Source organism: Homo sapiens, chromosome X (genome assembly GCF_000001405.40).
Source record: "Homo sapiens chromosome X, GRCh38.p14 Primary Assembly".
Classification (NCBI taxonomy): domain Eukaryota; kingdom Metazoa; phylum Chordata; class Mammalia; order Primates; family Hominidae; genus Homo; species Homo sapiens.
The window spans coordinates 37,944,215-37,959,360 of NC_000023.11; the positions used below are offsets into that span (position 1 = coordinate 37,944,215).

At 36.4% G+C, this 15,146-nt stretch overlaps 1 protein-coding gene and 1 pseudogene across 21 annotated transcripts in view; both read left to right on the forward strand.

Moving 5' to 3' along the window:
* Nucleotides 1-15,146, forward strand: part of SYTL5 (synaptotagmin like 5) — a 239,906-nt gene that overhangs the window by 55,300 nt on the left and 169,460 nt on the right. For 11 of the 21 annotated variants that reach the window (XM_017029972.1, XM_011544001.3, XM_047442654.1 and 8 more), the window contains one exon: nt 5,053-5,191. The exons of the other annotated variants lie outside the window; for them this stretch is intronic. The gene's annotated coding sequence lies outside the window, so the exon portion shown is untranslated. The remainder of the gene's footprint in view (nt 1-5,052; nt 5,192-15,146) is intronic. 21 annotated transcript variants of the gene reach the window in all.
* On the forward strand, nt 1,617-2,751 carry SC4MOP (sterol-C4-methyl oxidase pseudogene; annotated as a pseudogene).

Consider the following 15,146-nt stretch of genomic DNA (forward strand, 5'->3'; position numbering starts at 1 on the left):
TCCTATGTATTCTTAATATTTAAAAGTCTATCACAGGTCTGGTCTGTTTTGGAAATGATGTACCTGTTGAAAAAGATTTTTTTTTTTCTGGGAAAAGAGTCTGGGGGCATTTTGATTGAGATTTGACATTTGGCAATAATTGATGAGTATGTTTTTTATCTTAAAATGCCTGTGTAATTGATAATATACTTAAAGAAATCTATTACATTAGCAGGTGATTCCATGAAGAAGGCAGAAATCACTTAAACCTCTATAGCAGGAATTTGTGACATACCACAAAACTGCCCCAACCCCTTGGGAACTTGATTTCCATTCACTTGTGGAGATGAGTCCCCTGCACTTGCCAGACACCCATGCCAAGTGGGCAGTGGGGCAAAAAATGGAGGGTCATTCCATGAATGCGGGCACAACTGAAAGTAAGTTAACACCTCCAGAGACAATCCTTAGCCAATGGTGAGTAGGAGTAGGTAGAATAATGCCCCAGCCACTCCTACCTTTGATGGTATAATTTTGAAGAGCATTGTGTGCAGTTCTTCACAGTATCCTTAAGGAGACTGAGTCTCATTTTTCTATAGAAGTAGAATACATTTGATTTTTTCTTCCTTTCTCTGTCTCACTTTCTCTATCTCTCACTTTTGCATCCTGGGATTACCTCATAAATACTTATCTGCCTCCAAGTCCTTGCCTCAGGGTCTACTTTTGGGGGAACCCAAATTAAACTAACTTCCAAAGCTGGTACAACTTCCTATACTAATAATTAAATAGATGGTCGACTGATTTCAAAGCAAAGCTTTTGCATTCTGCAACTACTCTTAACTTTACATATATGTTATTGTTTCAATAAATTGTACTGTGTTCTTGAGAATACAATCTGAAGCAAAGCAGAGATATAGGTATAGTAATTCTATTTTTACAAGAATTATAAATTGAGATAACTGTGAATTATATGATTTTAGAATTTACCTTTTCAGCTTTCATGGAGCAAGTTTGTTGAGGGTTTTTAATTCAGTAAGAAGAAAAATATGATGTGGTTTTATTTTTTTCTGTTAACTGTCCCCCAACTGTGTCAACACCCCTTTCCCAAAGATTTGATACTAACTTTATGACATCTTAGTCAGATTTCATGACTCTCATCTTACTTTGTATTCCTGGAAATAATCATTTTATTTCAGAAAATTATTTTCTCCTCAGTGGGATGGGAGGGAATAATCAGTCTCCATGAACAGCGCCCAAAAGACTGGTGACTTTTCCACCTTCTGCATAGTTCTCCAGTCTTGATGGGAAAGCAGGGTGGTGTTGGTTGATGATAAGGGTGACACTGTCCTGGCACCTTCCAATAGACCTGATCTCCACTGTTGGTGGCTCACTGAAGACTCAATGAACTTAGAGCGTGTCTTCAAATTGGGCCTTAAAATTCCATCTGCATCCTGTTGTGGTATGTTTACTTAATCTTAACAGTAAACAAATTTGTACTTCCTGAGTTCGCATCAGCAAGTCTGTTGTTAGAAGTCAGTTTGAGTTTTAGAAATTTATTAGGTATGATTTACTCATGAGTAAATGAGAGTTGGCTAAAACAGGTGGAATGACAAAATCAGAAGCATCAAAAATCATGGCTACAGTCACCTTATGACTATCCAGAATTAGAAGGCTCTATGCAGAGATTTGAGAAATGGCAACAAATGAAAGTGCCAGCATCTGTAGTTCAGCATTTGTAGCTGTGGAGTATGTAGATTCACTTTTACCTGACAGTCCTCTGCAAGAACCATTTTAAAATGCTTGGAATTGTATGTTAATAATTATACAATGTTCTAGATTGCAACATGGGGATCTGCTATTGTTCATGAAAACTTTTATTTCTTGTTCTTTTTACCTGGGTTTCTATTTCAATTTATACCTTGCATTAAAAAGAATAACATTGAAAAATATAAACCAGAGACATAGGAAAACCAACGGAAGTGCTTTAAATTACTTCTCTTTAATCACTTTTGTATCCAGCTGCTTTTATGTGTGGAACCTATTATTTTACAGAGTATTTCAATATTCTTTATGATTGAAAAAGAATGACAAAATGGTATATGCTTTTGGTAAGGTGCTTTGGCTATACTACAGTCTTTGATACTACTTGGCACTATTTCTAAGCCTGCATAGATTCTTTTACCACAAAAAGAATATGTAAATAGATTCATAAAATTCATCATGAGTTTCAAGCTCCATTTGGAATAGAAGCTGAATATGCACATCCTTTGGAAATTCTAATTCTTGGAACTGGATTTTTCATTGGAATCATGCTTTTGTGTTACCATGTAATTAATTCTTCTTTGGACATGGGTGACAATTTATTTGATAGAAACTATTGATGCCCATCGTGGTTATGATATTCCTCTCAAACCTTTAAATCTCATCCTTTTCTATGCTGGTTCTCAGCATCATGATTTACACCACATAAACTTCATCAGAAAGTATGCTTCTACATTTTCATGGTGGAATACAATTTTTCGAACACACTTTCAGTTTAATGTTTATAGTGAAAATATGAAGAAGTTTGAGAAAAAGCTGAATAAATATCTCATATAAACCTTTCTGAAGATATACATTTTCCTGAATTGAAACTAGTAGCTAACATTGCTTCTGGGGAGCAGAAATAAGCATGTGTCTTGGTTGCTAAGTGATAAAAGGAATATTGATAACCTCTAATTATCTTCCTAGTGGAGACTTTTTCTACTTTACACACAGATTCCGTATATGTAGGAATACATGGATAATAAGTATTTCCTGCAAAACTGGTCCCCTCTTCATCACCTCATTGCCTTACTCTCTCTCTTGCCCCACTTTCTTCTCTCCCTCATTTCCTCCTCTCCTTAAACTTTCCTCTTTCATTCACTGTCCCTTATTTCTCCCTCACTTCTGAGGGGCCAAATTGATTGTCTTCATATTATAAGGCTCACCCTTTTCTTGATAATCTCTGGTCAATCAGCTTCATTCAGTGATTGCTTTGTGAACATTCCTGTGCATCATAAGACATTTCCTATTTCCATCTGATATGGTTTGGCTCTGTGTCCCTACCAAAATCTCACCTCAAATTGTAATCCCCACGTGTCGGAGGAGGGACATGGTGGGAGGTGATTGGATCATGGCGGAAGTTTCCCTCATGCTGTTCTCGTGATATTGAGTGAGTTCTCACAAGAACTGATGGTTTAAAAGGATGTGGCTTTCTTTGCTCTCTCTATCTCTCCTGCCACCATGTAAGACATGCCTTGCTTCCCCTTCACCCTCTGCCATGATTGTAAGTTTCCTGATGCCTCCCCAGCCATGCGGAACTGTGAGTCATGTAAACCTCTTTCCTTTATAAATTACACAGTCTCAGGTACTTCTTTATAGCAGTGTGAAAATGGACTAATACACCATCAGAAAACTGATATCATTTTAGCTAAGATTTACATCTTTTTGGGCGCTGTGTTCTGGCCACTCTTTCTCTGTTGGGTAAAAGAAATAGAAACTGCATAGATTTGGCAGACAGACTTTGGTGTAGATCCTAATTTTCCCACTTTGTAAGTTTGGCTAAGCTAGTTATTTTTTTCCATATTCAGTTTCCTCACATTAAGTGAGGCTAATAATAGCCACCTTGAAGGATTTTTGTGAGATTAAATAAGATGAACTATTTGATTATTTGTTAACATCTTAATTTGAAAACATTTTCTCCTGTGCCTCCCCAACTCCATTTCATATTTCTTTTCCTGATGTTTTTATACATTTCCAAACAAAACCAAAGTACCAAATGACTCAGTCAATTTAAGCCCAAATACACAGAGTTCCAAATCTTCTTCATAGCTTCATTGTTTCAGTATGAGAATATTTCTTAAGTGGGCAAATTCTACTCCAGGAGGCTTCAGAATGGTCAGGAACTTTTTTTCTTATTTTCTTACACTTATTTCATTTAGATCCTGCATAATTCCTCCCAAGTTTATCCTATTACCAAGCAGTCTAATGGACAATAATGACAGGGAACCTTATATAACAGAGTAGTAAAGGTTAATGACAACAAGAGGTATAACATGAGCTGCTTTTATTTACTAGGAATATTAGTTGTTCTAGAATTTAAAGTCCAAAAGCATCACTGGAATCAATTTTCTAAGCATTAGTTTTATGTTTTATTTTTAAAAATAAAAAAGCATATATCATTTCAAGGAATATTATTATATGTTATTATAAAATTATATATTATATTATGAAATCATTTACATAATTTTTGCTTAAATTATTTTTTGCAACTTTATTGAAGTATAGATGATGGTTAGAATTTATATATTTACATATATTTTTATATATATTTAGAGTATACAACTTGATGATTTGATATATGTATACATTGCCACTTTCCCCATCTGCCACCACCTCCCCGCCTCAGCCTCTGGTAACTACCAAGCTACTTTCTATGTTCAACTGTTTTAGATTCCACATATAAGTGAGATCATGGATGTTTGCCTTTCTAGGCCTGGCTTATGTCACTTAACATAATGTTCTCCAGGTTCCTCCATATTGTCACAAATGACAGGATTTCCTTCTTTTTTATGGCTGAATAGTATTCCATTTTGTTTATGTACCACATTTTTTAAATTCATCCATTGACAGACACTTAGTTTCGCTATTGTGAATAATGCTGCAGTGAACATAGGAATACAGATATCTAAGGGGGAGAGATTTTAAAACAAACTGAGCCTCAATTTGTTGCTATTTCTTTTCTGTATGTAAACTCTAAAGGTTCCTATTCAATTTCAGTCATGTTATCTGATATGGTAGCCATTCACATTGGAATCTAAAAATCATTTCCAACCCGTTTCTTCTCTTGTCCACCTCTACCATGGAGGCTGAAAAAACCTGAGACTCACTTTCCTATTCTCCCCTGCCAATGAGATATAAGGGAAGTTATTATGGGGCTTCATGGAAAGTTTGTACTTTCTAATAAAAGGAACAAGGTACATAAATGGCTTGTCTCAGTCTAATTTCTATGAATTCCTGCCTTTAAATGCTACTTTGTTATTGTGATACTTGCAGCTAGGAAGAGCATCTTGAAACCATGAAGCAACCATTCAAAGAACAAAATCCCATATGCTAAGGATGGTCAAACATAACAGCAGAAAAAGCCTATGTCCTTCATGACATGGGTGAGCCACCAAACCAACCTGACATTGAGGTACCTCCAATGGTTTATATCATTGCAGTTTGTTTATTATTGTTGTTGTTATTCATATTGCTATTGCTTGCTGCCCAAAGCATTCCTCATTGATTAAATCTGGAAAGAGTAAGCTATCATGCCATTAGTGCTTCCACCTTAATCAGCTTAATTTCTTACACCTCACAAGATCTGAGAAGAACAGGTACATTTTGATTGTGGTTAGAGGGTAGAACATGAAAAAAGGAAAAAATAAATAATGTTCACCATAATGAGGGAAGCTTATTTGGCACCAAGGAAGACAAAAAAGGAAAATATACACTAGTTAGGGAAAATAAAAGGAAATGTAGAGTACATGTTTTGCCCTTTTAGTTGCACCTGGGTGCCCAGTTGACCCTGGGTACAACATTTAAAAAAAGTTGTGTTTAATTTGTAATTATATGCTGTTTAACATTATAATTGCATGTGAACCATGACAAATTATTAATTCCACTCTAGATCTCTCCTGTCATATAGACAGTGGTTTGAATGCTTAGGACATGGAAATCAATTTCTTGACTGGTCTAAGGTACACATCATTAGAAAAGAATACCTGTTGCAAAAAATTTTTAAATGTGAGTGATTTGTATCCTTTGTTGTTTTGGACTATTCATGCTCCCAGCCCTTTTCCGTATTTTATGAAGTCTTTAATCAATACCTATTTAAATCTTTGAGGAATGCCATCATGATCAAATTGGAACTTCAAGAAGTTTGAAAGATTTTCTCTCAATAGATTGAGTCACTGCCTTTCACCTGTTTTCCTACTTAAGGAAATATAAATTATGTATTTAAACATCCTCTTGCTCTTAGATATGGTATATATGCTTCTGGGACCCTTTCTGTTGGCACCTGTTCCTCTACTCTACAGTATTTCTCACTTAGAGGAAACCTAATAAATGTATATCTAAAAGATATTGCTCTATTGTGCATATATATTTTATGAAATAATTATTTGCTGAAAGTATTTTCAGAAGAGCTGTTTTAGGTAGGAAGATTTTCAAATACCATTTGATAACTTATATGTGAATTACTACCTTTCAGAAATAATAACTGTAAAGCAGGATATATCTTTATTTACTTTTACTTTTCCGAAGGTTTGATATATGCTTTCAGTCTTCAGAACCTGTACTTGGAATTCTGTTTATAACCGAGAAGTATGCAATGCTTTCCTATTTAAGAAACTCAAACCAGCGTATTGCTTTTTTGGTGGCTTTAATATTGGTTGAAATTACCTTTAATGTATGATGTATATTCAGTTGGTTGTTATAGAAAATATTATTCATTAACAGTTTTATTATAAAAGACAGTAATTGAAAATACACCAAATATTGATTTTTGACCAAATTAAATAAGTTCTTTTTCTGAGAGCTTTTCAGGCTATGAAAGTATAAAGATGTTTGGAAACATATCTTGATATGTGTTCATTTTAAGGTATACTGAAGTTTTTCAATTGTTAATCAGTGCAGCACATGATGGGTGTTATCCATCCAACATGTAATACAATTTTACTTTTATAGCAATTACCGAAATTGACTGAAGAGCCTGAGTAGAACAATAATCATGGAAGAAATTGGAATATGTGTAAATTGATCTGATCTGAAGGGCAGAAAGACTTACGAGGAATAAAAAAAAAAAAGTTATGGATCCATAAAGTAAAAGAATTTTTTTTTCAAAGTTTAGTTCACTATTATATACCAAAGAAAAGTGCCATCTGACTAAGAAGCCCTGTTCTATTAAATTCTTACTAAATATCTGTTTCTATGTGGAAATAAATGCTAAACTCCATTATCTTGCTTTCATATTACTAACATTAGATTTGTTAAAAGATCCTCGGTAAATAAGTGAATTGATTTCAATGGTGATTTTTTGAATCACATGTATTAATAGCAAGAAAAATATATTATTTGGGATTAGGAACAGAAAATATCAAAAGCATTTTAATAAACGGTATAAATATGTTTTATGAGTTTTTTTAAAAAAATCAGTCATTCATTCATTTACTCACTAAGTATTTACTAAGCATGCCGTATGTGTCAGGTTCTGCCCTAGGGTGGCGGATTCCAATTAAAGCATGAGTAAGACAGTCTCACCTCAAAAAGACAGTAGGAGAGATAGACTGATAGGTCATTATACTGTGGTAAGTACATATAAATATGTACAGCAAATTGTGAGGAGCAAGGAGGAGAAAACCATAAACTGGGTTAAGGAGAGGCCCAGGGATTGCTTTCTGGAGAGGTTTTGAGGAACTACAAGCAGTGTTGCTGTAGTAAAAATTGTAAGGCAGGAGTGGTGAGGGATGAGTCTAAAGAGTTAGCTAGGGCCAGACCTTGAGGGTCTTGCTTGGAAGTTAGACTTTATTCTGTGGATGGTGGAAACCCATTAAAGAAGTTTTAACAAAGTGGAGAAGGAATACAATGGGGAGAAATGGTCAAATTTCCTTAGAGAAAGGTCCTTTGGTGGATACATGGATCATATTCTTGAGGAGGATGGGCTAGACACAAGGAGACCAGGCAAATCTATTGCAGTAATCCAGGATCAAAGATATGAGGGTTTGAATCAGAGCAGTGGCAAAAGAAATACAGAGGGGGCTCTGAATTCAAGAAATGTTTGGAATATAGATTTGTAAGATCTAGGAATTGTTGGAATGTAAAGGTCAGGGTGAGGAGGGAAAATCAAGGATATCTTTAGGCTTCTCTTTTGGGTGAATTCAGTATTACTAACTAAAATAGAGAGGGGAGTTATGTCAATAAGCTATTGTTCCATTAAAAAGTACAGGAAAATTAACTGGCTTAAAACAACAATAATTTATTCTTCTTCACGCTTCTGCTACTTGATTGAGAGTTAACTCTTCTGCACTTGGGTTTGTCTAGCCCTGGGTTTGTCTGCACTTAGCTCCAGATGGTAGACAGGGTCCAATTTTTGCTGACCTTACTCTTGTCTTTATTAGACTTATGGGCTAGCCAAGAAATGTTCTTTCCATGACAAGGTCAAAAGCACAAGAACTGAAGTTGCCAAACTCCTACTTGAGTTACACCTGTGGTTATACTGACCGAAGCAAATCACGTGGATAAGCCCAAAGTCAAAGGGTAGGGAAGTATACTCCATCTCTAGTGGAAGGAACTTCAATGTCATTAGCAAAGGTAACTGGGGTAAGGAGAGGGCCAGGGATTGCTTTCTGGAGAGGACACTAAGAGGATGGACACTAGGAGGGATGAAGAATTTGGGCCAATAATTCAACACCCTTATTGTTATTGTGAGTGATAGATTTGAGGGGAAGAAGACTGGAGGTTAAGAGGCTATTTCAAAGATGGTAAAAGTCCAGAGCAGTGGCAGCTGGAAAAGAGAGAAAATGATAGATTCAAGAAGTATTCAAGGCCTGGACATTGTTATAACATGGAGGACAGATTTAGGGGAAAGAGTCAAGGATGACTCTAGGCTTCCAATTTGACTGACTGAGATATGGAAAGAAGGATAGTGGGTTCAGTGTAGGAAACATTGAGTCTGAGAGAGAGTGACAAAGAATTTTATCGTCAAAACCAGGGCACTTCAGAGAACGTGAAAGAGTGCTATTAATAATTACGCCAGAACCACCAGGGTAAACATGTCTTGGGACTGATCTCAGGAAAACGAGTTTATATTCACTCTGGAGCGAGTTGCCTTTGGGTAATCAAAGTGAAGTTATTGAGCATCAGAGAAAGACTCTGTCTAAAAAATAAATAAATTAATTTAAAAAAGTGAAATTATTTAGTATAATGTTGATATTTGAGTATGAAATTCAGTGGAGAGAACTGGTCTGGTGATATAGACTTGGGAGTTATCATTCATAGTTTAAAGTTTGAAAGCATGAGTCTGGTTGAAATCATCAAAGGAAGCATATGCAGGATGAAATGAATATAATAGAATGAGAAGATGTTGCTGGAGTAGATGACAGATGAGGAACTTGAGAAGGAAAAGTCAACAAATAAGAATTTGATTTAAGCCAAAGAGTAGAATTTAATGGACAAAATAATCATATGAGAACACTCAGGGTCAGAGCTGGCTTTGAGTATGACTAAAGTTAGAAATTTTAACACCATCTTTTTTTCCCTCAGACTCTCTGTTTTTTTGTTTTGTTTTGTTTTTAAGCTGAGTGACTCTTTGAGGCTAGAGTCATGATCTTAGGCAGTTCCAGATTCATATTCTATTAGCTCCAAAACCAGAAAAAAAAAGGAGTTTTTTCCTTGTTATCTCAAAATACAAAATAAACCTGAGGGAAGACTCTAATTGGTCAGGTATAAGTCACATGCCCATCCCTCTACTAATCACCATGGCTAGAGAGTTGGGGACCCCCACATTAGTGAAGATGCAGGAGAGCAGTGGGGGTAAAAGTCAGATTACAGCAACTTGAGAAGTGACTGAGAGGTGGTTTGGATGCAGCAAGTACAGATAAGCATTTTAATAAATTTATTATAATAAATATGAAGAAGAGACAAACTATACAGTAGACTACATGAAGGGCAATGCGTATGTATTTTAGATTTGTTTATAGGCTGAGATAAAGGAATCAGTGAAACTTGAGATATTCAAGTTAAAGAAAAAAAGAGAATGCTTGTTGGAACAAGATCATGGAGCAAGTCTGAGGAGATGAGATTTAGGACAAAAAAATGAAAGAATGTAGATTTGAAAAGGGAAAAGAACATCTAGTCCTCTGAACCTATGATGAGGTACAGCTAAGTGTGGACATCAGTAAGTTAATGGAAGGGCAGTATATTGAGAGAGCCAAGGCTAAGAGGGAGGGCATCAGGGCCTGAGTAATTTCAGAAGAGCATTGAAAAGTCATTGAGGGCACTGGCTTCAGGAACTGACTGAAGGTAAGGAAAAGAATTCACAGGTGATTAGGCTTAGCTGATTTGTGGACCACGAGTTTGTCTTCTCACCCAGTCTGTAGGGCTGTGTGATTTTTCTCTAGCTGTCCTGGATATGGGCATGAAGAAGGTAAATTGATCTAGGGTTGGTGCTTTGATGAGTTCACGTAAATGGGGACAAGATGCTCTCCTCAAGGAAACATACAGCTTTAGAGGCAAATACAAGGTCTTAAAGATAAGTAAGCAAGAACAAGAAGGGAACTTTACTTATTTCTGGCATTCTGACATGGTAATGGTAGACCTCTCTATGAAATAACATTTCTAATTGACCTTTGCTTTCAATTTCTGTTGTGATGAGAAGTTTATAACTCTTGGACCATGCTGGAGTAAATCAAAACATAACAGATGTTTCACAATTTGCAAAACTGATTTAATTGTGTTTTATGTTGTATTATATTTCTGATAGTTATAACTTTCCTCCCCATCTTTCACCACACACGTACGCACACACATACACGCACAAATGGACATATAGCAACATCGTGTGCAAAGCTCTTTTGGTGTCACTATGAAGCTATGGTGAGTTAACATAATCAGAACATAATTTCAGGTCTCTAAGTTTCAATTCCAGTATGCCATATGAAGAAAAAATATTATCAAAAATAGAACAACTTTTATATAACTTTTATTTAATGATACCAAAATTCTTAGAGGTCATTGCAACAAAGTCTTATCAATAGCAGGAAATATTTTGCAGCATACTGTAAAGAACACTGGATCTTTTTACCACTAACGAGATACGAGATCCAGGGCAAATGAGTTTTCTCATATCTGTAAAATTAGGGTTATGGTCCCTTCTTGTATACCTCACAATGTGGTTATAAAAAAATCAGAGAGGATGTGGCAAAAAGTGTTTTATAAATAATAAATGAGATTATAATTTATTGATCAATTTTTTTAACATTACATTTATATTCATTTGGTACCACAGCATGGATTATTTAAAAACTGATGATTACACATTGGTCTCTTTCCAGGGAACTTAGAGGAATGGTTTAAATTGGTTGCCTATTATATGTAAGTTTGTTTAAAAATATCTAAATTATTTATGCTTCTTTCAATTTATGTAATAGATTTTAAGAGTCCAAAGATGATGACTCAAACTATTTACTTTGTTTTACTGTGTTTGCAAAATGAGTGAGGTAAAAGACTGGAATTATCTGCCAACATCGTCTGTATTGTGTTATGCTAGAAACATATAATTAGATGAACATTTTTTACTTATTTTTGTTCTTAAGGTTAAGAGACGACAGCCTTTTCTGACTGGGGAAAATGCTCACATCTTTTTAGTTGAGACTCACCCTTATGTAGCAATACACTGGCCGGGAAATGTAAAGAAAGTTCTAGGTTTTAAGTAATTAAATTTATGATTATCTTTCCCTAAAGGACTCTGTGAATTGGCTCAATAGCTATTTCCTACCTCAGGATTCAAGTTCCATGTTGGGCTTTGGTAAGGACTCCTTCACTCCTACTTCTAGACTGAGTCCCAAGCTTCCAACCTGAGCATTTGTATCATCTGGGGCTTCTTAGGCATCACCACAAAGTGATCATGAGAGGAACAGGAGACAAATGCAGACCTTAGTCATTTACTTATGGCCTGTTTTCCATGGTGGACCAAGTTGAAATTGAACACACCCATATACAAACATCCATACTGTATTGATTCTCCTAAGCCAACTCTACTGGTTGAACTGTGTGGGAAAGATACAAAATGTAACTACATGGACTAATCTTGCAATTCCAAGCTAAACAATTATTTAGCATATAGTCTCAGTTTAAGATGCAAAAGCAGAAACTATTGTGGCCAGAGATTTTAGAATTCTACATCTATACTTGTACTTCACTTTGCCTAGTTGCTGGTTCTTGTCTATGCTCAGTGTAATTTGGGGCACTTTACTGAAAAATCTGTACTTAAATCAAGTCATTTAATTAATTAGATAATTAATTTAGTTCATTTTTATTTTGGTGAGAACATTTAACATGAGATCTACCCTCTCTACAAATTTTTAAATGTACAATGAAGTGTTATTTACTATAGGCACAACGTTGTACAGCAGATTTCTAGAACTTAATCATCTTGCATAAGTGAAACTTTGTACCGATTGAATAGCAAGTGCCCATTTCCCCCTGCCAGTCCCTGGCAACTGCCACTCTAATTTCTGCTTCTGTGATTTCACTATTTCAGATACTTTATATAAGTAAAATAATGCATTATTTGTTCTTCTATAACTGGCTTATTCCACTTAGCATAACGTCCACAAAGTTCATCTATGTTATCTCATGTGGCAGGATTTCATGATTTTTTAATAATGAATAATATTCAATTGTATTTATATACCGTATTTTTTATCTATTTATCTCTAGTTGGACATTTAGGTTGTTTACATATCATGGCTATTGTGAATAATGCTGCTATGAGCATGGGAGCGCAGATATGCCTTCGGGATCCATATTTCTATTTAATACCAGTAAATACCCAGAAGTGGGATTGCTGGATCATTTGGTAATTCTATTTTAAATTTTCTGAGGAACCTCCGTATTGTTTTTTATAGCAGATCCACCATTCTACAGTCCCACTAACACTGTACCAGGGTTGCAATTTCATCACATCTTCACCAACACTTGATATCTTTCCTTTTTATCTTAGCCATTCTAAGAGGTATGAGGTGATATCTCATTGTGGTTTTGATTTACATTTCCCTGATTATTAGTGATGCTGAACATCTTTTTATATGCCTCATGGCCATTCGTATGTCTTGTTGGGAGAAACGTCGATTCACAGTTTTTGCTCACTTTTTAAATTTGGTTGTTTTTCTGCTACTGAGCTGTAGGAAACCTTTATATATTTGTATATTCGCCCCTTATCAGATATATAGTTCGCAATTTTTTTTCTCATTCTGTAGGTTGCCTTTTATCTGTTGTTTCCTTTTCTGTGTAGAAGCTTTTTGGTTTGATATAGTCCCCTTTGTCTATTTTTTGCTTTTGTTGCCTGTGCTTTTGAGGCTACAGCCAAGAAATCATTGCCAAGAACCAACATTATGAAGCTTTCCCTGCTGTGTTTTCTGCTAAGAGTTTTAAAGTTCAGGTCTTACACTTAAGTCTTTAACTCATTTTTAGTGAATTTTTGTGTGTGGTGTATGGCATGGGTAGAATTTCATACTTTTGCAAGTGAATGTCCAATCTTCCCAGCATCATTTACTGAGAGGACTCTTTCCCAGTTGAGTGTTCTTGGCACCCTTCGTGAAGGTCTGTTGACTACATGTATGGGTTTAATTCTGGGCTTTCCATTCTGTTCCATTGGTTGTATAGGTCTGTCTTTATGCCAGTATCATACTACTGGGTTACTGTAGTTTTGTAATACATTTTGAAATAGTGAAGTATGATGCCTCTAACTTTTTTTAAACAAGATTGTTTTGGCTATTCTGGGTATTTTGTGGTTCCATATGATTTTAGGATTTTTTCTATTTCTGTAAATAATGCCATTTGAATTTTGATAGAAATTTCACTGAATCTGTAGATTGCTTTAGGTAGTATAGGTATTTTAACAATATCAACTCTTAGTCAATTTTCTGTTGCTATCACAGAATACCATAGACTGTGACTGGGCGTGGTGGCTCACGCCTGTAATCCCAGCACTTTGGGAGGCCAATGCAGGCAGATCACTTGAGGTCAGGAGATCGAGACCAGCCTGGCCAACATGGTGAAACCTCGGATCTACTAAAAATACAAAAATTAGCCAGGTGGAGTAGTGGGCACCTGTAATCCCAGCTACTCAGGAGGCTGGGGCAGGATAATTGCTTGAGCCTGGGAGGCGAAGGTTACAGTGAGCTGAGATCGTGCCACTGCACTACAACCTGGGCAACAGAATGAGACTCCATCTCAAAAAAAAAAAAACAAAAAAAACCCAGACTGTGTAATTTATAAAGTTTATTTACCTCATAGTTCTAGAGGTTAGGAAGTCTGAGAGCATGGTACCAGCATCTGCTAATAGCCTTCTGGCTGTGTCATAATATGGTGGAGGACATCTTATGGCAAGAGGGAAGAGTGTGTCAGCTCAGATCACTCTTCCTCTTCTCATAGAGCCTCCAGTACCATCATGGGGGCCCTAGCTTGATGACCTTATTTAATTCTAATTACCTTTCAAAGACCCCATCTCCAAATCCCATTAACATATGGATTTGGGGATTAAGTTTCCAACACACACACGACATTTAGGGGACACCATCGAACCATAGCATTCTGCCCCTGGCCCCCAAATTTTATTTTCTTTTCACATGCAAAATGTATTAATTCCATTCCAGTAGCCCCAGAGTCGTAACTTGTTTCAGGATCAACTCAGAAGTCCAAAGTCCAGAGTCTCATCTGAATCAGATATAGATGAGACTCAAAATGTGCAATTTCCTTGCCAGCTGCAAGCCCGTGAGATCAAAACAAGCTATGTATTTGCAAAATGCAATGCTAAGCACAGGATAGTCATTCCTATTAAAGATGGAGAAAATAAGCAAGAAAAAATAAGTAGCTGGTCTTAGCACGTCAAAACCCCAACAGGGAAACAACATTAAACCTTAAAGCTTAGAATGATCTTTCACTCCATGTGCCATCTCTGGAATGTACTGGCGTGGGAGGGGGGGTTGGAATCTTCAAAGCCTTGGGCAGTTCCATCCCTGTGGCTTTGCTGTGCTCAGCCCATGCAGCAGTTTATACAGGTTGGAGTCTTATGCCTGCAGTTCTCCCAAGGGGACTGAATACTTGTAGATCTACAATTCTGAATTCTTGTGGGTAGTCCTTCCCCTGCAGCTCCACTAGGCATTGCCCTAGTGGGGACTCTCCGTGACAGCTCTAGCACTGACTGAGGTGTGGCTCCTCACAAGAGGGCATTAGCTATGGGGATCTGCCCGCAGACCCTGACCTAAACGACGGATGAATAAAACGTACACTGACACACAGATATTCTGTTTTGCCAGTCCTGCTGACTGTCCGACCACCTGCACACCAAGAGAGGTTTGTCATTGCGGCCGGCCCTGAGCAGCTCG